The following is a 12,639-nucleotide window of genomic DNA, read 5'->3' on the forward strand; positions in this document are numbered from 1 at the left end:
CCAAAAGCAACAGCAGTGTCTTCTATCCAGCCCAGTCCCCCAAACCACAGACCAAGCTAAAGAGAGCAATCCAGGGGGATACAAAATTAGCCAGAAACAATATAGCTAAAATGCATCACACAGCTTAGAACGAGGCAATCTGGGACAAAGGGGTCAAAGACCTTGAAGGTTACTTGTGAAGCAGATTCATTACTAAGGGAAAACATACTCAGGTAAGTTGTTCAAAAATGGGTAAAAAGATGCTAACTGTGGCAAAATGAGTCTGCTTCTAAAATAACAGTGCAGATGTAGACTGCGATGAACTCCAGGAAGACAGAAGAACCAATGGAGTCAATCCATTAATTTAACTTGTATTCTTTGCTAGAGGGTGGCAGAGTTGACAGCTGTTGAAAAAAATGGGCCTATAAGGTGGACTCGCAATTATTAGCTTCAAAGTGAACTAACCCACAATTGTATTCATGATGATCATTAATTTTTATGTGTGCATGAAAGATGGCCCTGCTTTAAGCTGTGTAGAGTTGTTTCCAAGCTGACAAGCTTGGAAGCCTTGTTCATTAATTACTCTAAATTCCTATGGATGGATAAAAGACCTCCAGAGGTCTGAGTTGTTAAAGGCCCCCACTGAAGGAAATACAGACTATACATAAAGGAGTCATTCTGAGTTCAAGGGGCCCTCCCACGGCGTATCAATTCCTCCCAAATATTTTTGGGGGTAAATGAAACATTATAAAGTGAATTTAATCATTTTTGGAAACATTAATTATAAAGCATTTTATATCATTAGGCAAGCATCCCCCTGAATGGCTATGAAATATTTTACCTCTGAAAGTTGAAACATTTAGCTTGAATAAAACTTGACATTAAAAAAGTTATGATTAGACTGGTTCATTGATATATATTTGGAGATCAGACATTTACAAGGACATAAGTGTATACAGTACCTGCAAACACACAGACACAGCACATGAAGGTACAAACACATTTAGTTATTTTCACATAATTCCCAAGAGAACATGCAATGCTAAATTGGCTTGATATTATACAGATGCAATTTTGGAATATTTACTTTTAGTTTTCCAAATGATCTTTATAAATCAAAGTTATATTTCCTGATCAATATTAACAAACATTTTCACATGGTGGCCTTGCCATGACAACTTGCCCCTTACAAATTAAATATGCTGTATCAACATTTGGCTCTGAAAAATGTTTAACATTTTATTTGGGGGGCTTATCATATTTTAATGTTTAATATTTTAAATGCATATTTCCCCATATTCCAAGTAATGCATCTTTATATTTTTGCAAAGAATATTGTAAAGTTCACCACACCAACAGCAGAGAAAATTTAGAGAGTGATATTTTCATTTTTTCTTTATAATGCTGTTAATCCGATTTTTTAAAGCCAGCCCATTTGTTTAACACTAGGTACCTGTTACAATACATTAGATTCGTCTGAGAATGTTCGTAAAAGAAGAGGTCTGACTGAAGGTCTGGCGGATAATGAGTCAGATGCCCTTCTACAGCTCAGATTTCTCTGTAATAGTGAGGCAAAGATACTTAAAGCATTTGAAAATTGGTTAACCTACCTGGTGATTATATATTTAAAAAAAGGTAAAAGAAAAAAATCATTTCCTATAGACTACTCCTCTGGCCAAAAGTACAAATGATTACACTATATAGTAAATGTATAACATTCAAATGAATACATTCAAAGGCCTAAGAAAGTCTCCAACTCGAATTGTTTTTGTGGTAGAAGTAAACAGACAACAGTAGTATGTAGTAAACTTGGGTTTTTGGAATGGCACTGGTAAGTAATATGGTAAGATGAGTCAATATGGTTTGATTAGTAAACCTTACCATCCTTTTGGTGAACACCTCTGAGAGTTGTGCCGGTGCCGTATTATCAAACAAAGAGAAATTTGTGCAAAACATTCCTGTCCTGGTGAACAGACTAGCTCTAACACGCCATGGCCACTGCATACCGTGGATCAATGAAGACTACAGACCCGTAGTCCAAGCTTTTAAAAATTACTTCCTCTCCAGTGTGACAATTTGGAAGGTGAACACATGATTAAAAGAAAATGACAAAATACTCTAAGCATCAATAGAAGATATAAAATGAGTCATGAGAAGTAATTTTTCATAAAGAATTAGAAAATGGTGTCAGGCAAATGAGAATGCAAGCAAGTTGGTACATTAAGAAAGGAAATCACCTTATTCACTCCAAGAGAAACTGTGATTGCTGGAAGTTTGAGAAAGCATGAAGATAGCAGATGTTCCTGAGGAAGGGAGGCGTTTCGTTACCTTGTTCACAATTGCACAAAAGGTGGAAAATTGCAGTAGAAAAAAGAGAAATGCAGAAACCAAAAAAAAAAAAAAAGTAAATAATCTCTCAAATGTAAGACATTTAAAAAGAAAACTTGAGAATTCGAAGCCGAAATGATATGTTAGTTTTGAAGACATTATTTTCTGAAGTAAAAGCAGAGTCAGAGATAGGAATAGTCTATTATTACGTGCCAACTACTATTTCTCTACATATCAATTTGAAATTATTTTGTTAATGGGAAAATTGACTATTTTAAATAAAATAGCTTTAAAATATGCTTCTCGTTAAAATAAGACTTATCTCTAATCATTAATTCACTATCCTACATTTGTTCAAAATCCATTGGTCAAAGAGTTATGTCCAGGGTCCATTGCCAATCACCAATCTATCTTGAAGTAATTATCTCCCCTATGCAACTGTACAGATACACTATGAAGGGACTGACTGCTCTTAAGCAGTTGCAGGATAAAAACTTAATCAAAAATAACAATGGGAAAACATTTGGTGATACCACATTTCAGTCCCATTTGCCTCTGACCAATGCTTAACTTCCTTTCTTACAACCTAATTTGATTGGTTTCCCTGTTTTTCCTACAGAGTCCTCTTTAGAAAGATAGGCTAAATTTTACCTGGGTAAGGTATTATTTTTTTTCCCCTTAAAACACCCAGAAAAGTGAAAATGGATAAAGTTTAACTGGCAAACCTAAGGTTATTTTTTTCCTTCTGATTCTGTGCCTGAAATTATAAGGTAATTTACAGACTCAGTTTTGGCATTGCCCAAGCAAAACAGAAGATGAGTGGTCAACAATGTGGATGACTTGAACAACTCTGCTAATAAAGATTACCCATATTGTCTACTTAGTGACCTAAAATGGGCTTAGAAAAAGAAACCAGCTAAAGTAACATTTGTTTCCAGAAGATTCTAATAAACAATTAAACTTTCAAAGGTAAATAATTTATTCATGTTTTGACAACTACATTTTTTCTTGTTTTTACCTTAAATGAAGAAAGTTGGTGGAATGAAGAAAGTTGATAGACATATTGATAGAATGCAAATTACCAATTGATAAAGCTAGAGAATATTTAGATTCTGAGAAAAAGATTTTAATTGTTTCTATCTTCTATTTTATGGGCAAAAACCCTGCGACAAGATCAGCATGATACCAAGTTCCCCACCCCCGTGTTTAATGCACAAACCTATCTATTCAAGACTGCAACTGTAAGCACGTTTTGGTGTGCTCAAACACTTGTATCCAACCATCGGAGATAAAAGTATTTCTATGAAGCAGAAATATTAGGAGTTAATAGATTAGGTGTTAAAACTACTTTATAAAGGAAATGAAAGTACAGAAAGCAGGAGAAAGCATGGAAAGAGTAACTAAAGCAATAAAAAAATTGATATAGCTAGCAACCGGCAGTGGGGTGGGGTAAACAGGAGATAATGAGCTAAAACAGAATGAAATTTCCACATTCCTTTGCAGTCATCTAGAGAGCTTTGACACCAGCTCAATTAGCAGTATGTCAAAGAGGCCAATGGATAAAGGCCCATCTCAACAGCCACGACATTAGGATTAAACTTTATTTTTGTCTAATCCAGCTAACAGGGCTATTGCCCTGTGAACCCATGGTTGTATATGACACTGTAAGAATCATAATAGTAATCATCATTATTATAATGATTAACTATATTCTCCAAAATTTCCAAAATGCTTTCTCTGGGACTTTGGCTCAGACAGTTGACATTCTTCCCTTCCCTGTCTACCACTCTGAAAGAGTTCTCTACATAATGGAATATTTCTTCCTGTTTGTGCTGACATCCCATGCTAAGCACGGCCATGTTGCTGGGTGCATTCCCATTAAATTATAGTCTTCCTTTGTCAAGCTTCAGCGAAGTTAAGCCTCCTTTTTGATTGTGGTGACTTACATGAGAAAACTTCACACAGGATATGTGGAAATTTCTCCATTGGAAATGTGAAATGGTATTTGCTACTTGGCCAGAAACTCCAGATATATTTCATTGATTTACAGACAGCCAATGACTGTGCTTAGGGGGGACACAACTTTTTGAAATACAAAAATCCTATACTTGACCTTTCCTTGAGGTGTTATCCTGCTGTTTCACTGTTCAGTGCTCAATGGTAGTTTCATCATATACCCTCAACAGCATTGCTATGCAGCTTTGTCACTTCATAAAGCTAAAGAAAAGCTCTAGGATCCTTAATAACGGAACTTTGGGGAAAAAAATTAACCTCATTGCTAAAAATACAGCTGATGGATACATGGCTTAACTACAACCCTTGAGTTAAACAACTGAGAGAACCTACATTTGAAGATACTGGAATTCTTTCTAATACTAGCATTATGACAGAACTCAGTTGCAGTGGAGGCTGCCATACTAGCGATTTTACTGGAGGTTTCAGGAGGTAGTGACTTGAAATAGCTCAATTGTGTTAAAACAAGCCACATCACTGATTCTGCTATTCTGTTTAATACCTGCTTACAGAAGTATTCCATATGAATGCTCCTTATAACCAGAGTGAGAGCTGCTTGTGAGCTAGGGCCACATCTGATTCATCCCTGAATTACCAACACCTAGTACAGTAGCTAACTCATAGTGGGCCCTCAGGCAAGGTATGCTGAATTGAACAGAATTCAGCATAAGGTTGCTCTTATAATTGTTAAATATAAATAGCTTAGCTTCTTTCTCAAATGCCATAGAGACATTTTCACTACACACTGCTAAGTCCCCTTCTCAAAGCAGCTGCCAAGACCCACATAAGAACAGCACTGGCAGCTGACCTGCCACATTTCTGGCTGTGTACATAAAGTGTCCACGATACTTATTGGTTGAAGTCAGGGATTCTTCTACTCTAGGTAGAGACACACATTTGACCACATCGGGGGATCTATCAGGATATGGGGCAGACCCAGTATCTTTTGCCTCTCTTTAAAATGAGGCCAATGTCTTAGCAAGGAATACAGAACAAAGTAGGAAATCACACAGAGTGTCAGACTGTTGGTCACTGAGCATAAAGACTAAAATATTTGGGGGAAAATAACATACTCTTTCTCCCTTATCTTAGAAGTTGGCCTCCACCTCTTTGATATAGCCAAATAGGGCCTTATATAAACAGATGTGATTTATCAGAATAGCCATGGCTGCCATGTTGCAGTAGGCCTCTATGCATTCATATTGCACTACTTTGCTCTTGCATTTTCTCATAAGAAAAAAAAAAAAGAGGCAGCACTGCTGAGTGCCCACAACATTTTGCCTCATTTGCGACTCCTGAAATCCCAGAGTCTGAAAAACCATCTAGCCTTTCAGACATTGGATGTAAAGAGAGATGTTCATCAGTAGGTGGTTCAACAAATGTTTATTGGTTCAACAAGGGTAGGAATAAATGAATGAATGATTGCATGAATGAAAATGATTATGGAAATTTTCCTGGTTGTTCTAGCATATCAGCATGCCAAGCCATAGCACAGACACTAGAATTCTTCCTACGCTGGACATAACCCATAACAAATTTCATGCTAAACCCCTGGCAACAGTCTATGCTGCTAAGTAAAAAAGGACGCAGTCCCAGAACTCCGTACTTTCAACAGAAGTTCAGAATCTGTTCGTGTGAAAAAAAAAAATGTTCTAAGTCTTTATCTGTGACTGCTTAGTAGCATCCCACAATTTAATGGTCTATGTAACAGTCACCTCCAGCCAATGTCTAACTTTTTTGAGAGGGCCTAATAAGGAAGAAGATAAGATGACATGTTTGAAAGTTTTGTTTTCTGAGATTTTTCTATCATCTTTAGACCATGTAGCTGGGTGTGAGTCATTATTTAAAATGAGCTCCATTACCTCAAATAAGAGACACATTTAGGATCATTCCAAAGTATACTCCCAAATAAGGATGGAAGAGCAACTTGGAAATCTTTCCCTGGAAAATTCTCTATTATAAAAAGCCCCAAATCATTTCTTATTGCAACATTATTTTATTTGGTTTCATGCAAATTGCCACTTGAGACATTCTGGGTGGAGTCTGTTGTATCAAACTGTTTTATCCCTGTTCAACCGATATTAAGACATAATCAGGTATTTGAATGCAACTTTTCCATCCTAAAACACCAGACTAGAGTAAAGCAGTTGTAACTAAGCTAACATTACTGTGTTCAGTTTCAGCCCATAAGACATGTAGAAAGCAGGGAGTTAAGGGCAATTCTGGCCACCTAATTACACACTGACTGGCCTTGTATATGAAGAATCAATGTACCCTATGACAGTTCTCTTGTTTTTGATTGGGGCTGACACTGACTTGCGACATGAATCTCCTCTTTTACAATTCTAATCACTGAAGGTTTTCCTACTCTAATCATTTCAGATCCCCATGTCTATGTAATATCAACTACTGGATTCTATCAATTCAACAGGCAAAAACAAAATCATGATGTAACAGTTTTGTGGCTAAACTGGTTGACAAATTTATCAAATAAGTCAGGTAGTCATAGCTTAGAATATTACCTGAAAATACTGCCTTGGAGGTGCTACAAGATCTAGTTGGTGTCAATATGACAGAAACAGTTTTGTTTAATAAAATCAGCTACTGTTGGCAGGAATATGACATATTTAATTAGCCTGTTGGTCAAAATCTGCCAAAAGTTTTATTTTCCATGCTCATCTCCCTATTTCGCTTTAAAGGCTTTTTAAAAAATGTTTAAAAGATATCATAATGAGGCAGCAGAAAAAATAACTTCTCATTCCCACAGGAAATTTACAATTTAATAGGAAAAATAAAAACACACTCATAAAACTATCTTGAATTTTTACGAGTGTGTTCCAGAGGCTAAGGATGTCAAAACCACATCCAGGGAATTCTCTTTGGTTCAAATATACTGCTGGACAGACAGGGCTAGAAGCAACGCAGAGATTAAGCAGCACTATAATTAAAGGAAGGGGAAAGGTTTGAAAGAGGCAAATTGGTATTATCAACTGAAAAAAATCTGCAAACAGCCCACAGGGAAATTTCTAAGTTTAAAGCGAAAATGTTGGTGTGGAAATTCCTGGTGTGAAAATTCTAGGCTAAATACAAAATAAAATAATTTTTTCCTTTTAAAATTCCATATGGAGCATATGAGATACTCCATATGGATTGCCGAAGGTCACATAGAACACTATTAAGGAATCTACTTACCACCTGCATTGGATAACGAAGTTTTTACTATACTTTTTATGCAGAAGAGGAAATTAAGTGATGAACCTGTAAGGAGGGGTTTAACATGCTGTAACTAATGTAATTTTCTAAATCAGGTTTTTAGCTCATGGCAGATATTGAGGCCCCTTCCAAAAATCAGGTTGTAAGATAAACTTAGTTCTTACCCTGGCACTTCTTCTTCTTACATTCTTTAATACTATCAGAAGAATCTCAGGGAACAGGCTGATAAATATTAGAAGAATTATAGCCAACCATGTGGATACAGAAGACAGCATTTGGGCAAATACAAAATACATTCTCTGTTGCTTGAGAAAAGGCCTGCAGTGGAAAGAAAATACATGATGGAAAAACAAATCAATTCCTGTCATATGAAATGGACATTTAATTAAAATGTCGTTTGTATTTAAAAAGAATCTTCCTTACATACATTAATAAAAATAATTTTCTCTAGAATATCCCAAAGTAATAAACAAATTTCATTTACCAAATGTTTGGAAAAAAAGGAATGATAATCAAAGGAGAAAAAAGATAAAATGCATTTGACTTGAAGACAATCAGGCAATCAATTCTAAAGCTGCCAACTGGCGACTATTTATGTGCATTAGAAAATGCTGGTGCTTAAAAGATATTCAAGAGAAATGGTTCATTTTTATCCTAACAAGCATTTTATTTCCTCAGCTGTTTTATTAAGATGGGGATGGATTTGTGTTCTGTATTCAGAAATTCAAAAGACATTTTTATAACTCTCTCCCAATAAAAACACTATGTAAATATAAAAAGGACAGTAGAAGCTTATCATCTCTCTCAAATGGAAGGAATCTACCATTGTCATCCACAAATATATATTAACAGTATGTGCCAAATAGGTTGACACAGAGTAGAATATTGCTAATTGGACATTAAGCCTTAGAATCCAGAAATCCAGCAGGAACCCCCATTCTGGAGTTAGATTTCATTCTGAGTCATCCACTTCATTGTAAAGTGGCCATTGAGAAGCACAGCCTGTTTCCCTTCCCTTCTGTCTGAGCTGAACCACAGAGAGCCTCAGTAGGTGAAGCTATTGTTCTTTGAAGGTGAGGGGGAAGAAGTGGTTGCTTAAAGACAGGATGCACATCAGACTGCCCTAGGATTAAAGAGCTCCAGGTAGATAACCATGGCTCCTGTTTATTAGATGACACATCATGCTTCCTGAAGATAATTTGGTTTCTCATTTAAAAATTAATGTCTATGCACCCTTATGTAACATGATAAAACTGAGTTTGTGGCTCTACTTTTATGAAAATTAGATTGTGGAATAAAAGTGAGAACAGGAAGGTAGAAAAATTTATGAGGCCTAGGCTACACAGGCTTTCTGGGAAAAGTCTGCCACATGGAAAAGACTTCTGCAGAACTCTACCTCACTCAAATTCTGAAGAACACCTTGAATAATGTTCTAGGCAGTTAACTGAGCCATAACAGGGGCCCAGATGACAAATGGCAGCTAGTCACAGAGTGTTCCTTGGCATCATACCTTCTGACTAATGCATCCAGTTGTTTTTTGTTTTTTTTTTTTAACCTCCATGTCATCTATGGAGTTTTGTAGTAGGGCAGTAAAAAATAAACACTATTATTTCTGGATGTGGTTTGGGGCTCGGAAGTCATCATTCTCACTACCCAACCCCAAAGACGGGTGTGACTCAATGCCTCAGGGTAAAACATGTCTAGAGACATCAGTTGTGACCACATTCAGCTGAAGTTTCACATTGTTTCTAGTCACATTTTACTGGTTGCTTTATAAGTTTATATTCATGCAGTGGCTCAACTCTACTTAATGATAATACTTCAGGCAATAAAATAAAAAATAGATTAACATTTCATTTTTAGTAGCACTAATGAATAAACAGGTGTGACAATACCATAATCATTTACTGGATTTATTTTCATCAATAAGGAATAGTCTGTAGAAAGGGTTGGAAATGAGTTCGCTGGAAACATTTTATTTTTGTAGAAATTTTGCATAATTAGTTCAGATGCTGATTACATAGATTCATAGAATTATGGTACTCTGGGCAGACATACAATTGTATATGGTATGTTCTTAATCAACTTTGAATTATTTGTTATATTATTAAAGAAAATAGAGACTTCTTCCAGCTTCATTGCTCTCAATTACCTATAGAGGTACCAAATATATGCTGTAATTATACTTTTTAAAGCTGGTACTTCCTTAAATGATTAGGTTTCTCATATTTTTATTTCTTAAGGTTTTTATTTTTAAAAAGCTTTTCAAAATAGAGTTTCTTCTAATTAAGACTCAAGGGACATAAACATAAGCCTCACATCTCTGTGATAAAATAGAATCATTTTGTATGTAAGATTTTGCTCAAAGCAATGAAAATATGTACTCCTGAAATCTTACACTATGGCTTGCTCTAGCCATGCTCTCTGCTGCTGGCATCCTTGTCAGGGGAAGCCATTCACTAAAAAAAACAACTCTGACATTTAAAAATAAAATATATGTTTTTGGGAGTAAAGAAAGGAGATGCAAATATATAACTCTCCCAATCACAGCTTATGTGTCCCTCACTGGACTCTATTCTCCTTGAGTACAGTCTAGTCATCTCTCTAACCCATAGAGTCTCAAGCACAAAACTGATTCTGAACAAACATCTATCTACTGAACCAAGATGAACTAAATGAACTTTAAAGACAAGCTGCAGAGTCTGCCTTTCTACATCTTCCCTCCTCCACCAAAACAGTAAGATGACAATTTCAAAATACAACCCTCTGAATTATTAAGTTGTATATATCCTATACCCTGAGCACACCTGTAGTAACATGAATCATGGTTATATACTATCAAGAGAAAATAAGGGTCCAAATGGACAATAATGTATCTGTTGGTCAATATATCAGGTAGAAACTTCACAGGATGAGTATTTCCTCTGAAAATCACGAGAGGTTGTGCTGAAAACTATAGTTTCACTAGAGAGATGTTTACAACACCTTCAAACAGACAGAAGCTACCAAAGGGAGGTCTTCTGAGTGACTTGTGCAGTCTATATATGTGTATTTAAAATCTTACCTGAAATTAGTAGCACTACCAGCTAACAAATAACCTTCAGGCCATTAATATTAAAGACGTGTCATCTTATATAATTAAAATTTTTAAAGTATAATGAATGCTTACATATATAGTGTACATACACATGTATCTACTTTGCTATTTACATATTGCTCACACATGTACAATTGCTTACCAAATAATTCCTCCCCAGAAGAATGAGAAAAATACATAGAAGGCTAAAGAACCCCAAATCACAAAGTGATTTATCCACGTCCAGAATCGGGTATCCAAGGCAAGCTGAAAAGATACAACACAAAAGATTTCACGACGGTTACGAATTGCACCAGGCAATACGCTATAGTATCTGATAACTAGTACACAATGATACCTATGAAAGGATCTAGCTTGGGCCAGGGATCCAGAGAAGAGGGGAACTAAACAGAACCCAGGTTTTTCAAAGAACAAGGGTGAGAAAGCTGAGCTCTGCCCTAAGGCCTCTAAACTGGCGTACAGGCTGGAGGTGTGATCAGGCTAAGTAGCTAGTAGGTGTAGGGCTGCAGATATCTCAGTACTGGGGAATGGGCAAGGAATGAAGTAATGGTAATATCTAGGAGGCCCAAGCCCCAAGTCCTCAGGCAATGGCAGCCAGGAAGATGATGGCAAAAGGAGACCTAGCTGGTGGGGGCAGATAAGCTGAAAAGAAGTAGGAGAGGGAAGGGGTAGCTAGGAAGGGTAGACAAACTACAAAACTTTCAAAGGTGTCGTGAAAGCTCAAACACAACAGACGGGAGTCACTAAATGCAAAGGCTCTATACATCTAACATCATGTAGCAATGAATCATGGGTTTGACTATGTAGTGTATCTTTCCAATTGCAAAACCTGTATCTAGTCCATTAAATTAATAAAATATTCAGTTAGATTTTAATCTCTTCATGTTTCTGCCAGGACCAATCATGTTTTCAGATTGTGGTATCTGGGGTTTTCAAATGTGATCTAAAAACAAAAGTATGGACTATTTCGCTTGCTTAAAACTTCTGGGTCACATGAGCTAATATCCAGAGCAGTTAATTTTTATAGAGGAGATGGTGTCTCAGTTTTGTTACTTGCTGTGACACCATGGTCATCAGCTCTCTGTTATAGTTTCTCATTTATAAACAGGATGTTGATAACATTATTAATGTAGCTCAGTCTTGAATTGCTATTCTTCTGGTTGCTAAGGAAAATACTAATATGAATCCAAAGATAATACTAATATTAATCCAAAGAGGAGGGAGTGGAAGTCTTTGAGATACACTTGAAAAACACTGTGAAGGCCATTTGGAAGCCCTGTGGCTATATGCAAGGCCAGGGGAAAAAAGGAGGGGGGAGGCGTCCATTTCAAATTGTGATACTGTGAGACATAATAAAAACCGAAAACTAGCATATATTGAAATGAGCACCCTCCTAAGTGCTTTATTCACTAATTGAGTCCTCAAAAAGGGTAGGTGCTACTTCTATCTCGATTTTATAGAAGAGGAAAGTGAGGCACAGAGAGGTAAAGTTACTTGCCGAAGGACACACAGCTAGTAAGTGGCTATACTGAGATGAATTGTAATGTCCTTTTAAGGTCCTAAAATGTTACTGAAATAGATGAATAAAGCAAACATATGTTAGCTCTATCTGGTATAAGAAATAAACCAGGAACAAAAATTTAGAGGGAAAGGTAAGAGAGATCCTTTGACAATTATACTTCTGAATTCTGCTTCTAACCCCTGGGCATGCCAGAATTCATTTAAAGGTATTTACTCATGGAACCCATGTGAGGTGTTTATTATTGGAATGACAAAAATAATTTGATTATGCTTTCAACTATAAGAGATTCCCAAATCATGGGCCTCAAGGGTAGCATTCAGTGAGGCTTCACAGCATTATCACATGGCTGCATGTCAATGCCAATGATTTTGCCAAAATTACCTCCCTTTTGTTTACCTGCATTATATTCTTAGGCACTTTATCACTAACATGGGTAAATTTTAATGATGAATACATTTTATATATTTTTATTTTTTTATATTTATTT

General features: G+C 36.2%; 1 protein-coding gene across 20 annotated transcripts in view, besides 1 other annotated feature; it reads right to left on the bottom strand.

Moving 5' to 3' along the window:
- Positions 1-12,639, bottom strand: part of ATP11C (ATPase phospholipid transporting 11C (ATP11C blood group)) — a 210,556-nt gene that overhangs the window by 3,871 nt on the left and 194,046 nt on the right. For 9 of the 20 annotated variants that reach the window (XM_047442016.1, XM_047442021.1, XM_017029449.2 and 6 more), the window contains 3 exons: positions 10,773-10,876; positions 7,698-7,851; positions 1,434-1,537 (listed from right to left, as the gene is read on the bottom strand). In XM_047442016.1, the coding sequence (XP_047297972.1) occupies positions 1,436-1,537; positions 7,698-7,851; positions 10,773-10,876 (360 nt within the window). In that variant the 3' untranslated portion in view covers positions 1,434-1,435. Of the gene's footprint in view, positions 1-1,432; positions 1,538-2,216; positions 2,308-7,512; positions 7,579-7,697; positions 7,852-10,772; positions 10,877-12,639 lie in introns of those variants that run through there. The other 11 variants (XM_047442018.1, XM_047442024.1, NM_001353810.2 and 8 more) reach the window with 5 other exon arrangements.
- Positions 8,392-8,686: a silencer, noted in NCBI's record as "tiled region #14619; HepG2 Repressive non-DNase unmatched - State 24:Quies". NCBI's record gives its function as "represses a minimal TATA promoter and a strong SV40 promoter by Sharpr-MPRA in HepG2 cells {active_cell/tissue: HepG2}" and the evidence as "EXISTENCE:reporter gene assay evidence [ECO:0000049][PMID:27701403]".

Source organism: Homo sapiens, chromosome X (genome assembly GCF_000001405.40).
Source record: "Homo sapiens chromosome X, GRCh38.p14 Primary Assembly".
Lineage (NCBI taxonomy): Eukaryota > Metazoa > Chordata > Mammalia > Primates > Hominidae > Homo > Homo sapiens.